The sequence below is a fragment of the Homo sapiens genome, chromosome 18 (genome assembly GCF_000001405.40).
Source record: "Homo sapiens chromosome 18, GRCh38.p14 Primary Assembly".
NCBI classification, from domain to species: domain Eukaryota; kingdom Metazoa; phylum Chordata; class Mammalia; order Primates; family Hominidae; genus Homo; species Homo sapiens.
Window position 1 is genome coordinate 77,716,856 of NC_000018.10, and position 15,568 is coordinate 77,732,423.

The 15,568-nt window shown below is 39.0% G+C and overlaps 1 long non-coding RNA gene across 1 annotated transcript; it reads left to right on the forward strand.

The window, feature by feature from the left end:
• The first annotated feature begins 986 nt into the window (after window positions 1–986).
• On the forward strand, window positions 987–6,095 carry LOC107985129 (uncharacterized). Its single transcript, XR_001753547.1, has 3 exons — window positions 987–1,317; window positions 2,956–3,688; window positions 6,055–6,095. It is a non-coding gene; the product is annotated as an uncharacterized LOC107985129 (long non-coding RNA).
• The last annotated feature ends 9,473 nt before the right edge of the window (window positions 6,096–15,568 follow it).

Consider the following 15,568-nt stretch of genomic DNA (forward strand, 5'->3'; position numbering starts at 1 on the left):
CCATGTTGGCCAGGCTGGTCTCCATCTCCTGATGTCAGGTCATCCACCCGCCTCAGCCTCCCAAAGTTCTGGGATTACAGGCGTGAGGCACCACGCCAGGCTGATTAAATATAATTTAAAAAAATATTTTTGACCTCTTATGTCTGAGAAATCCAGAGTGGCAAAGATATTCCCTGTATATTCTTCTAAAATTTTCTAATTTTCACTCTCCTGTTCAGTTCTACTATCCATCTGCTGGTGCTCCCTGAAGGAGTAAAAGGTTTTTCCCCAGGCAGGGCCCCTGAGTGTCTCTCCAAGTGGGGGGCACGGGCTGAGACCACCCCTGTAACAGACCCCCTGCCATTCCAGTGTCTCAGGTGGTGGAGGGGAGTCTCGGGCCCACAGGGAGGAAGAGGTATCCCTGAATAAGCTGCCCGCTGAGAGGGCTCCGCTGGTTGCGTTCTGCCTGGGAAACGAGTCTGTGGGGTAGGACTCTCAGGAAGAACTGACTCTGCTAACACCTTGATTTTAGATTTCCAGCCTCCAAAACTGAAAGAATACATTTCTATCATTTTTTTTTTTTGTCATCCAGAGTGTGGTAATTTGTTGCAGCAACCCAGAGAAACTCACATGGACCCACTGGCACCATGCTACCTCCCTGGACTCTGTGGCTGGGACGTAGGTAATTGAGGTTACCAGTGCCAGTGAATTGTCAGAGGCCCTGAGGTAGCACCTGCCGTGGATGCTGAGGCAGACACCCTCAAGAGGTGTGCTGGCCTCGCCGTGAGGAGTCGCAGGTGCGCCATTGGAAGGGTATGGAATGCCGGGGTGGGCAGGGTGGGGACCTGAGTTTTGATTCCAGACAACCTCGATCTTTCTTGCTTCCAAGCGGCATTAGGAGGAAAGATCCCTGAATGGGTCGGGGTGAAGGTGAAGTCACAGTTGAAAGCATTATGCGTCAAATCTGAAAAAGGGGAAGCCATCGGCTTGAGGGACTGCAGGGAAAGGCTAAGCATGTGTTGACTTTCAAAGAAGGGAAATAGTAAAGTGTGTCATCTGCTCCTGGAGAAGGTCTCACAGAGTGGACATTATGAATTGTGTGGCAGGAATGAGGTCATTAAAAAGATGAAAGGGGCCGGGACCCAGGGCTTGGAGTCTAGGGGTAGGCAGCTTCCTTCCAGTGTCACAGAGAGAAGACACAGGAGAGATGGGGAAGAGCCTCGGGGTGTTCAATTTGCTGGTGACAGGGTCTGGCTCACGGTCAACACATCTCGGTGGGTGTTGACCAATTCTCCACTGGATACCAAGGCCAAGCGCCCTCCCAGTGATCCCCTGAGGGTAAGTGAGTAACAACATCAGGACAGAGTCCACTTCTCTTCCCGTCTTGAACATTTATGGGTGTGGCATAATTTGGTTTTCTGATGTCTCCCCCGAGTTCCACAGTTGCTAACAATTTTCTAACATGCATTTCGAGAACCCATCAGCAATCTCTCCAGTTTCACAGCTCACAATGGTACTGAACATCCCGAGAAAATCCAGCACATTCCAATAAATCTTCTCTTGCTGTTTCCTCACTTATCCAGGACTCCACCTTTCTCTTAACTATTTTTCTTCTCCACTTTGCAACTAGAAAGACATCCTTTTTGAGGGGAAAAGAAAAAGGTGAGGTAAGTAAACTCATGCAAGAATGTTCTAAACTGCGTGTGAAATGGCATGGTTGTTTTCCCCCTGGCCTCACTCCTGGGGTCCCCTGACCCATTCCTTTCCAGGCACCAAGGCCTCCTGGTTTTTCCTCAGGGTCTCTGTGGGTCCTGGCCCCTCCTCCTGGAGTGCTTGTCCTCTGATAAACTTGTGACTTATGCCCTCGAGCTTTTAAGTCATGTTCCTCCTGCTTACAGGGTCGCTGAGAAACCCACAACAATTTTGATTCTGTCACTGCCACCTCCAGCTTTTTCTACCTCCTTTTCCTGATTAATTTTTTTCTTTCTAACAGTTATCACTATCTAAAATACATTATAGGCCAGTGATTTAACTTTATTCCTCTTCCATGATTTATTTTTTCTTCTTAAGATTTACCACTATCTAAACTATGATGACAGCAGCTGTCATATAATAGTTGCTTAATAAAAGCTTATTGAATGAAAGGATAAAATAAAGACTGTGTAGAGCCCTGCTCAGACAAATGAGAAGGTGGCTCATGCAAGAAGTTCTCAAGGATCAGGAGAGAAGAATATTGGGAGTTTAAAAGTGGACAATTGTAGAGGTGGGGTAAGCAGGCCAGGGATGGGAATTAGCATGATGAGGCACGAGTTTCAGGGCTGGAGACGAGGCTGTGATTTAAAGAGGAAAATGTTACAGTTTCCAATGGAAGAGAGCTGTAATAAAGTAAAATAAATTAATATTTTTTAAAAAACCTAAATAGTCTACCCCTATTGTAGGGATTCTAGAAGACTCTAGATTCTAGAATATCCAGATATAGATGTAGTTCCTGGAACTGATGAGTGGACAGTCCCAGCCTCTAGAATTAACTGGAGGCTTACCAAGAGGGATGATAGGTTTACTTTACATGTTAGTACGAAATTTGGAACATATTTCTCATTTTGTGCACATATATATATATATATTTATCTTTTAAAAAATTAGAGATACCATTGTACACTACTGGTAATGGCATTAGACAAATGCATCCCATTCTGTTTTTCACGCAGGTCACCTGTGTGCCTTTCACTTGAGCTCCTCTGAATTTCCGTGATCCAGCCAGTAAAATGCTGAAAATATTAAACAAGGAAATGCAAGTTTTCCATTGTATATATAAACAAACACAGAAATAGAAATGTTCTTCCACTGCCATGTTGGTTTCTTACAGCATCTCTCCCTCTCTTTTCATTCATTTGTTTTTATGGTGGTATGCAAACACTTCGGTTTTGATGACTAATCTCTCTCTCTCTCTCTGTCCCTCATTTTCTTCTCTTTCAGAGCCTTTGCATGTGGAGCAAATGTGATGTCGTCTCTAAACCTTTGCCCTGTGCCTTTATGGAAGGCTATCGCTCACCTACTCAAGCCACCTGCTGTATCCATTGCACAGCGAGCAGTGGGGAGAGACATGATCAAGTTCCTCTAAGTCTCTAGGGGCTGCCAGAACAACAGACATATTTTGTTCATTATTATTTGTTCAAGAATAGCAATAGTCTTCTGGGTTCTTGTTTTGTGAGGGTTGCTGGTTCCTGTGAAGCCTCTTTCACCTGTTCCTTCTGATTTCAGTTTAAATGCTTGCATATCCCACACATCTCTGGGTGTATCTTATGTGCCAGGAGACTTGTGGGAGCTTCCACAAACATTTCATCTTGTTTTAAGTAAGAAGAAGTTACTCTCCTTCCCCATGTTTCAGAAGGTGAAGCTGGAGCTCGGAATCCAGGTGACTTGCTAGGTGTCACACAGACGTACCAGGGACAGGAACCGGGTCATCTAGTTTCAATCCCACTCTTTCCCTTTTAAGAAGTGAGCACATGGGAAGTGGAACATGTACAGGAAAATATACTACTTCTGGCGGTGGGAAGTGAGCAAAAGTAAATACAAAGGCATACTTTATTAAGTGCATGAGCAATCCTTTTTATTAGAACACATGGAAAACAAAGATGATAAAAGGATTTTTCACTCCCTGGACGTTATTGAACTTCAAGCAAAATGCTGCATATCATCTGGTGACCAGGTACCCCACGTTGTCATTTCTTTCTTTCTTGCTGTATTATAGATCACCGAGTCTTATGTAATTACCCACAAAATTGCTGGTGTTGCTTCATGACAGGCATGACAAATCCTCAATAAGGCCTCTTTGGTTGTCTAGAAAATGATTAACCTCTTCCTGCAGCTGTTGGATGTGATATTTAATATATGCAACAAAATACATATGCATGCAACTTCAGCGCATGCCATTTAACAGTATTTTCTTCCTAGGTCAAAGTTTGCCCAGCATGACCTCACCCACTAACTGCATTAGTTTAAAATTTTAGGCCAAAATAAAATAGTGATCTAAAATCATGCAGCTTTTATTCACTGTACAACATGGATATTCATAAGACCCCTCCATAAATGTTTGGTCCAGATCTTTCTTCCACTGAATGAAGTTTGACAATTTGTGACAAGACAGAAAGGAAATTCATTATATTTAGTAATAGAAAACCTATTTCTCATTTTTCACGAGCCAAGCAGCCTCGATGAAATTGCCTAAACCGCTACATCACACTCCTCCACCTTTGTGGTCTGTGAGGTCGCTCACAAGGGTCTTCAATTTCCTTATGTTCACAGCTTGGCATCTGGTAATTTTCAGTATCAGAAAACATAAGGGGGCTATATATTTTTTCCTCAGAAGAAATATTTCTGATTTGAAAAGAAATAAATCTGTCAAGAGGAAAATATTAAAAATAAAAAGTGTGACTGTAATAATCACATCGATGTCACAGGCAATTTTGCTCATTCGGATTGGGGAAGGAAACTTCCCTGCCCCCCCAAAGGAATTGTCAAAGTAAGAGAAATGGAATTTTTATTTCAATAACCACTTTGGTTTAAGGGTAATTTATGTATAAGGAAGCACAACAGCCTCAAGAATCAAATTTCCTTAAAATATTATTTTGTATTCTCTCTGCTACAAGGCTTAGTGAAACTGATGGATCAAAGTGAAGAATTACTAAATTTGTTTCTCTAAGTTACAGTTTAACAGACACTGTACACCACACACAGCACTGGCAAAAGGGCAGTGTTTTGCATTTTGCAAAGGGTTATACCCAGAGAATAATATTTCTTGAAATTAAATAATCCTCATAATGTTAAAATGAAAAATGGAAGAAAAGCTAGTTTTGTTTGACCGGATCCAGAAAAGTAGCAAATCTTCCGCTGCCCACACCCACCTCCCGTCACACACACACACACCCTTGGGCTCAGTCACTGCTGTTTTCATCAATAATAAATAGCAGTGCTATATGGCATTTAAGTTTTTTTTTTTCTTTTTTTAGTATGCATTTCCTCAGAGAAGATAGAAAGAATGTTCAGGCATTTAAATGAGCAGTTTAAATTCTTATTTCTTTCTAGAATGATCTCTGGCTATAGCTAGAACTAGCTGCATTTAGGATTGAAAAACAAAGGAAGAAGAATATATAAAACAACTAAATCACGGCTTCATATTTGCTCAGCTCCACACAGAAAATATTTATCACTGTCTCCATAGCAATTCTTACTGATCGCATCGATTAACCCAAGGCACACTTGCCGCACGCGGTACTCGGTAGGGAGCCTGCCGTCAATCTGCGAGTGCGTCTAAGGCTTGTCTTTCTTTTCTTTCCCTTCTTCTCTTCTCTTCTCTTCTCTTCTCTTCTCTTCTCTTCTCTTCTCTTCTCTTCTCTTCTTTCTCTTCTCTCTTCTCTTCTTTCTCCTTCCTTCCTTCCTTCCTTCCTTCCTTCCTTCCTTCCTTCCTTCCTTCCTTCCTTTCTTTCTTTGATGGAGTGCCAGGCTGTCACCCAGGCTGGAGTGCAATGGCACCATCCCGGCTCACTGCAACCTCCGCCTCCTGGGTTCAAGCGATTCTCCTGCCTCAGCCTCCCGAGTAGCTGGGACTACAGGCGCCCGCCACCACACCCGGCTAATTTTTTGTATTTTTAATAGAGACGGGGTTTCACCATGTTAGCCAGGATGGACTCGATCTCATGACCTCGTGATCCACCCGCCTCAGCCTCCCAAGGTGCAGCTTGTCCTCCGTTCTTAATCACCTTTTGCTGATTACCGCCTTGTTTCTGAGATGCTCAATTTGGTCTTACTACTGTAGGATCATAGGGTCCTCTCTTTGCACATGGAATGCTTTTCCATGACAAATACCATTACTCAAAGTTATTGAAGATTGGTAACTACTTAAACAGGATATATTCCCTAGAATACTTTCAGCATTTTTTCACTTTCTGAAAAAATCATCTTATGGAAAGGAAAAGACCAGGCATTTGCCAATTTCCAGATGCCAAATTCCCCTGTTAGATGATATGTAATTTTTATTTTATTTTAATTGCTTTAATTTTTTTTTTGATTTTTTAGGTGGAGTCTCACTCTGTCCCCCAGGCTGGAGTGCAGTGGAGTGCAGAGTGCTCGGCTCACTGCAACCTCTGCCTCTCGGGTTCAAGAAATTCTCCTGCCTCAGCCTCCAAGTAGCTGGGATTGCAGGCGCCTGCCACCACACCTGGCTAATTTTTTTTGAATTTTTAGTAGAGACGGGGTTTCACCATGTTGGTCAGGCTGGTCTCAAAACCCTGGCCTCAAATGATTCACCTGCCTTTGCCTCCCAAAATGCTGGGGTTGCAGGTGTGAGCCACCATGCCTGGCCCACAATATGTAATTTTAATTCTAAAACAGAAAACAAAGAAAGAACAGCTATCATAATTGTGGCAAAGAGGAATTAAAAGAAAAAAATTTCAAACTTCATTAATGGCTGCTTCAGTTTATTTTGAGATTGAATATTACATTATAATTTTGGTCTGAGGGGAGGTTACATGAGATGTTAATATACGTAAAAGTCCCCATTGGTTGGCCTGGTGCTAAAGGCATCCTCAAAACATGTTCTGTTCCTTATTAACCTCAAGAGATGGGGACATGGTCCTAACATCTGTGGTGTTCTCATGTTGGTTTATATCTGACTTTATTTCTCAATATTTATTTCTATCAAAGGATAAAATATGGAAGTGTTTACATATTACAATTTTTATAATATTATATTTTTTAACACTTGAAAGTTTTAAAATTTTTACATTTAAAAAGAAATTATAACTACTATTCAGCCATTAAAAAGAATGAAATCACGTCTTTTGCAGCAATATGGATGGAACCAGGGGGCACTATCCGAAATGAAATGCTTCAGAAAAAAAAGTTTAAAAACCACATGTTCTCACTTCTAAGTGAGAGCTTAACCACAGGTATACACTGACAGGGAGTGGAATAACAGACATCGGCATCTCTGATAAGTGGGAGGGTGGAAGTAGGGGAAGGGATGAAATACTACCTATTGGGTACAATGTTCACTATTCCAGTGATGGTTACACAAAAAGCCCAGACTTCACCTCTATGCAATATATCCATATAACATAACTGCACTTATACCCCTAAATGTATACAAATAAAAAAAAAAAAACTATGACACTTTAATATCACATTTTTCCTATGTTACAGGCTAGTGGAATGTAAATGTAGATTAAAATGAATTGGTTATTTTCTTATTCTTATTTCCAACAATAGCTCATAATAACTACTCTAATATGAGAATACATTCTGTCTTTTAAATGAGACTAGAAAGCTATCAAAACACAAAAGTAGAATCTGTCAGAAACAGTGGCTCAGAGGAGTGAAACATGAACGAAATGTAATGAGGAGCAGAAACGGACAGGTCTGACTTGGCAAGTCTTGGGTGGAGGTCCCAGTTTCTACGTCAGGTGAGGGCACACCTTGAGGTAGCCTGCTAGCTGTCTTTACTTGGAGAGGGAAGTCAGGTAATGACTTTCGGATGTACATGCACAGAGGAGGCAAATGTGAAATCACAGGGTGAGCTGGGAGCAGATGAATTGGCACCAAGCAAAGAACGTGCCCAGTACACACTTAGTCAATGCTCCACGAAGAATCTGTGGATCGACTCAATAAATACACACAGAGCCACCACCGACCACCCGCCACTCATTGGCCAAGTACTAACAATACAATGAGAAGAAACCATAGTCTCTATCTTAAATGTGGCTGCTATTCTCAAAACCAAACTTCTGTTTTAATCAGTGAAGAAACAGAGAGCTGCAGATTTCAAATGAAAGCTTCAGTTCTCTTGCAAGAAGCCTACTACTATACATACATAATTTTTGGAAATGTTTTCTCAAATGTTCTTAAACCAATAAGAAAGTAATATATTTTTTCAAAAGTAAATTTAAAATAAATTAAAAATAAAGTTTACAAAGAAATGAGCATACATGTGATAAGGAGAAACATCAGAACTGATGACTTTTTTTCAGCCAGGATATTTAGTAAAAATGTCAGAGACACAGTAAGTATTCAAATAATGGTCATTGGATAAAGAAACAAAGTGTCCTTATGGGACGAACTATCACCAACACAGCATAAAATCTGAAGTTTTCCCTATATTCTTTCACATTATCTTTCCTCTGTCAAATGAAATGTTGATATAGTTGGCTGTGTCCCCACCCAAATCTCATCTTGAATTCCCATGTGCTGTGGGAGAGACTGTGTGGGAGGAAACTGACTCTTGGGGGTGGGTCTTTCCCATGCTGTTCTCATGATAGTGAGTAAGTCATACAAGATCTGATGGTTTTAAAAATGGGAGGTTCCCTGCACAAGCTCCCTCTTTGCCTGCCACCATCCACATAAGATGTGACTTGCTCCTCCTTGCCTTCTGCCATGATTGTGAGGCCTCCCAGCCAGTTGGAACTTTAAGTCCATTAAAGCTCTTTCTTTTGTAAATTGTCCAGTCTCAGATATGTCTTTATCAGCAGTGGGAAAACAGACTAATACAAATGGCTTAATGGTAAATATAAGGGGTTTTCAAAAAAGTTCATAGAAAATGTATCCTTTAAAAACCGTGCATAGATTTCAAAAGTTTTTTGCATCGAAGTCAACTTGTACTAAGCTACTGCAAGATGTCTGAACAAACTCTAGTTTGAATCACTCAAAAGGATAAGACATCATTTTGAAAAGAGCACCTAACAGAGCAAAATGAATTCTGCTAAAATTGAAGCATGAATGCACATCAGATTTATAGTGAAGCAATGGTAACATCACTGATTGCTTTACAAGAAGTTTACCATGACAATGCCCCAGATAAATCAGCAGTTTACAAATGGATAATGTATTATATAGAGGGACAAGACAATGTTGAAGATGATGCCCACAACAACAGACCATTCACATTAATTTGCAAGAAAAAACTTGCTGTTTATGTCCTAATTGAAGGGGACTGATGACTAAGAGCAGAAACATGAGCCAACACCATAGACATCTCAATTCATTCAGCTTACACAATTCTGACCGAAAAATTCAAGTTGACCAAACTGATCATGGGATGGGTGCAAAACCATTGTGCCCAAACAAGCTGCAGACAAGAGCAGAGCTTTCAATGGAAATTTTAAATAAGTGGGATTAAGTTCCTAAAGCATTTATTTGAAGAACTCTAGCCAGAGACGAAGCATAGCTTTACCAGTACAATCCTGAATACACAACAAAAGCAAAGCAATGGCTACCAAGAGGGGGACATGTTTCAGTCAAAGCACATTGAACTAGTCAAGAGCGAAGTTCATGGCAACAGTTTTTTGGGATGCTCAAGACATTTTGTTTGTTGTCTTTCTGGAGCGTAAAATAACAATAGCATCTGCATATTATGAGAGTGTTTTGAGAAAGTTGGCCAAAGTGTTAGGAGAAAAACACTGAGGTAAGCTTCACCAGTGAGTCCTTTTCCACCACAACAATGCTCCTGCTCATTTCTCTCATCAAAAACGGCAATTTTGTGAGAGTTTTGATGGGAAATCAATAGGCATCTACCTGACCGTCCTGCTTTGGCTCCTTATGGCTTCTTTTTGTTTTCTAATCTTAAAAAAGCATTAAATGGCACCCATTTTTCTTCAGTTAATAATATAGAAAAGACAGCATTGACATGGTTAAATTCCCAGGACACTTAGTTCTTTAGCAATGAACTGAATTGCTGGTATTATCGCTTCTGATCTTGTTGGTGCTTATGTTGAGAAATGAAACTCATGTTTTTTATTTTTATTTGATAATTTTATTTTGAGATAAACTTTTTGTAGTCCTCTAGTAGTAGGAAAAAGAAATGGGCAACAACAACCCATAATTCAGATAACTGAATTTTGGGTCTTATAATCTTAGTTGATCTTCATCCCAAATGACTTGAAATCGTCTGTATAATTTTCTTAGCCTTATCAAATAAAATAATAATTATTAAGGCATGTTAAAAACAGTTAGAAACATTGTCTTTAACTTATTGATTAACAAATGCCCTGTTATCGTTACTATGTTTTCTTAAAGAAGATATTAGAGAACACAGAGTCTCAAGTTCTACTGTATGGACTTTTGCTCCAGCTTCCATTTATGAGCTGTCAGTAACTCTATGATTAAAATGGGGACAGTAATGGTACTCAGCTCACTGGGTTGTGTATGCCCAAATACATGCAAACACACACACACATATTTCACATATAAATATTTTATATAAGCCTATTGTACCATGGTAGTTTATTTGACCTAAAGATATTCACGTTCAAGTTTCTCTCAACACTCAATTATAACAAAAGCTATTATAACACATGTTGAGCATTTCCCATGTGCAGGCACTTTTCCACATGCTTTTCAAGTATTAATTCATTTAGTACTCCCCAAACCTGTGAATTAGGTGGTGCTATGTTCCTGTTTTAGAGATGAGGTGTTTGAGACAAAGAAAGATAATTAGATTCACTTGCTAAGATCACAAAATGTTGGGATTTCTTTACCATGTTTATTGTCCTTCAACTATTGAACAACTCTACACATGCACACACATAAGCATGCAAACACACACGCGCATGCACACACACAGACTCTCAAGGGATCCAAAGCCATAGCCAACATGTGTTTGCTTTCTTGTCATTTTCACACCCCAAGGAAAAGGAAGCCTCCCTTTTCACTCTCCTTTCCTGGGATGTTGAAGAAACTGTCCAGGCTCAGAGACAAGGGGAAACCCTTCAGAGTGGTCTTCAGTGTGACATTGTACTTGACATGTTCTAGAAAGCAATGTGGGTCCCACCTGGAGCTAAGTGAGGAGAAGTAAAGGTTCAACACAGAAGGTGAGGTGCTATGGGGGCCCCTGTAATGGAGAAATAGCCTTGCTGTAATTATGTCCCAGGTGAATGTTACACTGGTGAACTATCTGGGCTCAATCGAAAAGTGTTATAGAATTCAATAAGCACAGGTTAAAATAAAGCACTTAATGCAATCCAGAATCTGTTTATTTTTAATTTCTTGTTCTTTAAATTTACCAGTATGTTCATCAATTACAGTTGACAATCTGTCCTCCAATTCCTTTGTCTAAGAATAATCACCCTCACTCTACTTCAGGAACTCAATTGATTTTTCTCTCTATAGTTTTAGCTTTCTTCTTTATATTCTGACTATTGAGGCCATTTATTAAAACTACAATCAAAATATTGAATACATCTCAATACTCCCCAGTGCTGAAATATCTGTTTCAAAGCCTAGACAGCTGGAACTCAGAAAAATCAGTATAACTCACTGTTCCAGGTTTTTTAGAGGAGTGGGGATATTTCTCTTATCAGTCTAGAATGGTTTTTCCTTTTACAATTGGGTCAGGTTCACATAATTCATATTATCTATCTATCTATCTATCTATCTATCTATCATCTATCATCTATCTATATATCTATCATCTATCTATCATCATCTACATATCTATAATCTATCTATCATCTATCTATCTATCTGTCTATCATCTGTCTATCATCTGTCTGTCTATCTGTCTTTCTGTCTTAGTCCATGTAGTGTTGCTATAAAGGAATACCTGAGGTTGAGTAATTTATAAAGGAAAGAAGTTTATTTGGCTTATGGTTCTGCAGGCTGTACAAGAAGCATGGTGCCAGCATCTGCTGAGCTTCCAGGGAGGTCTCAGGCTGCTCCCACCCCTGGTGGGAGGCAAAGGGAAGCCAGCTGTGCAGATCCATATGATACGTAGGTATAGATCTATGGATCACATGGATCTCTCTCTCTGATCTGTATCTACACATCACAGGCACGTGTATCTCTATCCATGTGATCATACGGAGATGTGAGAGAGGGAGAAAGTGGGGAGGTGCCGGGCTTTTGTTAATAACAGCTGTCTTGTGGGAACTAACAGAGTGAGAATTCACTTACCACTCCCCCAGGGTATTAACCTATTAATGAGAAATCTACCTTCAGAACCCAAACACCTCCCATTAGGTCCCACTTCCAATGGTTAGATCACATTTCAACATGAGATTTGGAGGGACAAACATCCAAAGCACAACATTATCTGTCTATCTATCTATCATCTATCTATCTATCTATCTATCTATCTATCTATCTATCTATCTATCATCTATCTATCTATATCTATGTATCTATTTATCTTTGTCACTATTTATCTTTCTCTATATATAAATATTTATCTATACCTATCTATATCTCTATCTCTGTCTCTATCTTGACCTATCTCTATGTCTATCTATACCTCTCTATATCTCTATTTATCTTTATCTTTCTATCTATATCTCTCTATATATCTATCTCTATTTATCTTTATCTCTTTCTATCTCTCTATCTGTATATCCCTCTCCTTCTCACTCTCTGTCTCTATCAGACATATTAAGGTAGAAAAACATCCAAGCTTGTGCCAGTCAAGTGGAATAAAGTCATCCATCTGATGTTCCTTCTGCCAAAAATCCATAAAGTTAGATAAATTCGTAAGAGTTGTGAAGCTCAATAAAAAGTGCCATTGGAAAGGAGCAATGTGGATGTGTTCCTCAAAGGCAGAAATGACGATGGAGGGGAGCATACCCTGCTGATATCTGCTAAGGGACTCTGATATTGTAAACACTAAATACTGCATAGTGTACAGCAGGCACCAGCCGACACACTGCAGGTTTAAGAAACAGCCCTGTGAGGTCCATGACTCCCACTGCCCCGCACAGACCCACTTCCAAGCTCAGGCTGGCAGGACACCCAGAGGCCCTTTTTTGTGGGAAAGACAAATTCCTCTGCTGGATACATAGGAACATTTCTGAGTTCCCATCACACAGCTTCATCAGGCCACATTTTCACTGTATAGTGAAGCCCACATATCCACATAGATATTTCCTCAATAATGTGTATAGTATTCCTATAAGAAACAATCGTTGGACATCCTGAAGCATGAAAAATAAAGGAATCAGTATTTGTAATAGAGAATGTAGGAGCAGAAGAAGACTTCAAATTAAAATCCAGTCACTAATATTCATTCTCAAAGGATAAGATAAAATTGTCATCAATAAAATAATAGGATGTTATAAACCAATAAACAACTTGAAAGCAAGAAAAAAACTTAATAATAAATATATGATAGATGATTCTTGAAATACTTATTGGAAGAGTTGGAGGATAAAATCAAAGAAATTTCTCTAAAAGAAGAACAATAACACAAAGAGATTGACCAAGGGAAATAAGCAATTTTCAGTCTTTGAGGTCCATTGTCCTTTCAGTAGGAGTTAGAGCAAAAGAGCATGGAGAAAACACACAGAGGGTTCCATCAAATACAAGGTGGGAGAAGACATCCCAAAACAACAAAGATGGGTCTCCAAAACCAAGACTTCACCATGACCTCAGTGCAGTGAATGAGAGAAACTCACCCAGAGCTCTTCTCTATGACAATTTAAACACTGGCAATAACGCTAAAATGCTAAAAGCTCCAGAGAGCTGAACATGGATCACAGGCATGATTCTAGGAGTTAGAGAGGCATTTATTTTCTAGATAGCCACTCCCAAAGTCTGTAAAATATTTGCATTGTTCAGAAAGAAGATAGTGACTGATTCTAGGTGCAGATACACACACAGACATACATAAACACAGGATTAAATTCAGCAGGCCAAGAGGTACACCCAGATACAAATGACAACGCAGTTAAAAACAAAGTGTTGAGGAAGGAAATTAAAATTACAACATAAAGTAAAGAGCTATAGAAATAATACAGAGATGTAATTCAAGACAAAGCATGTTAAATGTTAAAAACCACTAAGATAATATAGCAGCAAGGTGAACCTTCACGTGCTGCTCAACACAGCTTCAGCATACTATGGGAACAGTGGCATCTACAACAAAATGGGATATTTTAGAGTACTTTTTAAAACACTAGTAAGTCTTCTTGAAAAATAATTTGTAAAAGCACAGTATTTGAATTCTGCAATGACTAACAGATATAATAGCTCTAAACAGGACATTATGTTCCTCAAATTAATTAATATTTTTTCAAACACCATTAATGAGAAAATGGTCATGTAATAGATATGAAAGACAAAATCAACGAAGTCCAAAAGCGTACATGATCTGTAACCACATTGCAATGAGGTGACAAAGGCAGAATTAAAATGGATTGCTAAAATTCTATCTACATGAAAATATAGACTGTGGGACAGAAAATTAAAAAGTATCTATAAATGTATTGCAAAGGTGCACCTATGTTGAATATTTAAAATACAACTTAGAAGGTTGGTTAGAGGGAAATGTATAACCTAGCAATCAACAGAATTTGACAACTGAGAATTGACATCAAAAAGCTAGGGAAAAAATGCATATCTAAAGAAGAAAAGAGAGAAAAGAAGAATGTAGCACAAATCAATAAAATTAAAACAAACATGCAGAATTGAATAAATGAACAAATGAAAAATGTATTCCTTGCATGTGTGAATAAAGCAGATAAGCTTTTGTGAAGGCTGATGTAAGAACACAGAGAATCCATGACATAACGTTAGGAATATTGGGGCAGACACAGATAATCTAATAGAATAGAATATTGTAGTCGAATTTTGTTTAAAAGTAATACAAATAAATTTGAAAATGTAGATTAATAAACTATTAGAAAAATGTATATTATTAATTTTTTTTCAAATAAGTAAAACACTGGAGTGAACCAGCACCCAGGAAAAACATTGAAAAGGAAACAAGAATTCTACCCATAAAAAGGACATCACTTTCTACAAAGCTTCAAAATTAAGTTCTATCTTTACATATCAGCAATATTTCTATATTTAATATGTTATCAGAGAATACAGAAAAAATACTCATTCTCTGCATCTTAGCACAACCCTGAAAACCCGACAGGGCAAGTCCAGCTCAGTGCCTACGTCCATGACCCAACAGAGCAGGGACAAGAGCTGTGCCTGGGACGGACCCGCAGCTGCAGCACGAGGCAGATGGCGGAAACGCAGAACCTTGCATGCCATCCCCGAACTACTGAACTGAGATCTGCATTTTAACAAGCCCCCAAACTCAACTTTCTACTCAATACGTTAGCCAGTGACACTAACCCTGCAGACAAAATCCTAGATCAAACATGAGGAAGTTAAACCAATGTTAGAGTATAGTACATCATACTTAAGTAAGGTTTCATTCCAAAAGTAGTTTCATGTAAACATGTCTAGTCGTGGAATTCACTCAAGTGAGAGAATTTTGGAGAAAAAAAATAGTAAAGTCTGAAAAAATTCACAAAATTGAAGACACATCCTTGATTTTTAAACGTATAAACTGGAAATCGAAGGAAAATGGATATGGACTATATTAAACGAATAAGAATTGGTAGCAGAAAACCATAGTGGGCATCCTGTTTGATAATAATATGTTATTTATTTATTTTTAATTGACAGATAATTGTACATATTTATGGGATACATTGTGAAGCTTTGACGTATGTAGGCGTAGTGGAATGATGTACATATGCATGTGGAAATCAAGCTAAGGAATACGTCCATCATCTCATCTACTAATTTTTGGTAGTGAGAATGTTTAAAATCT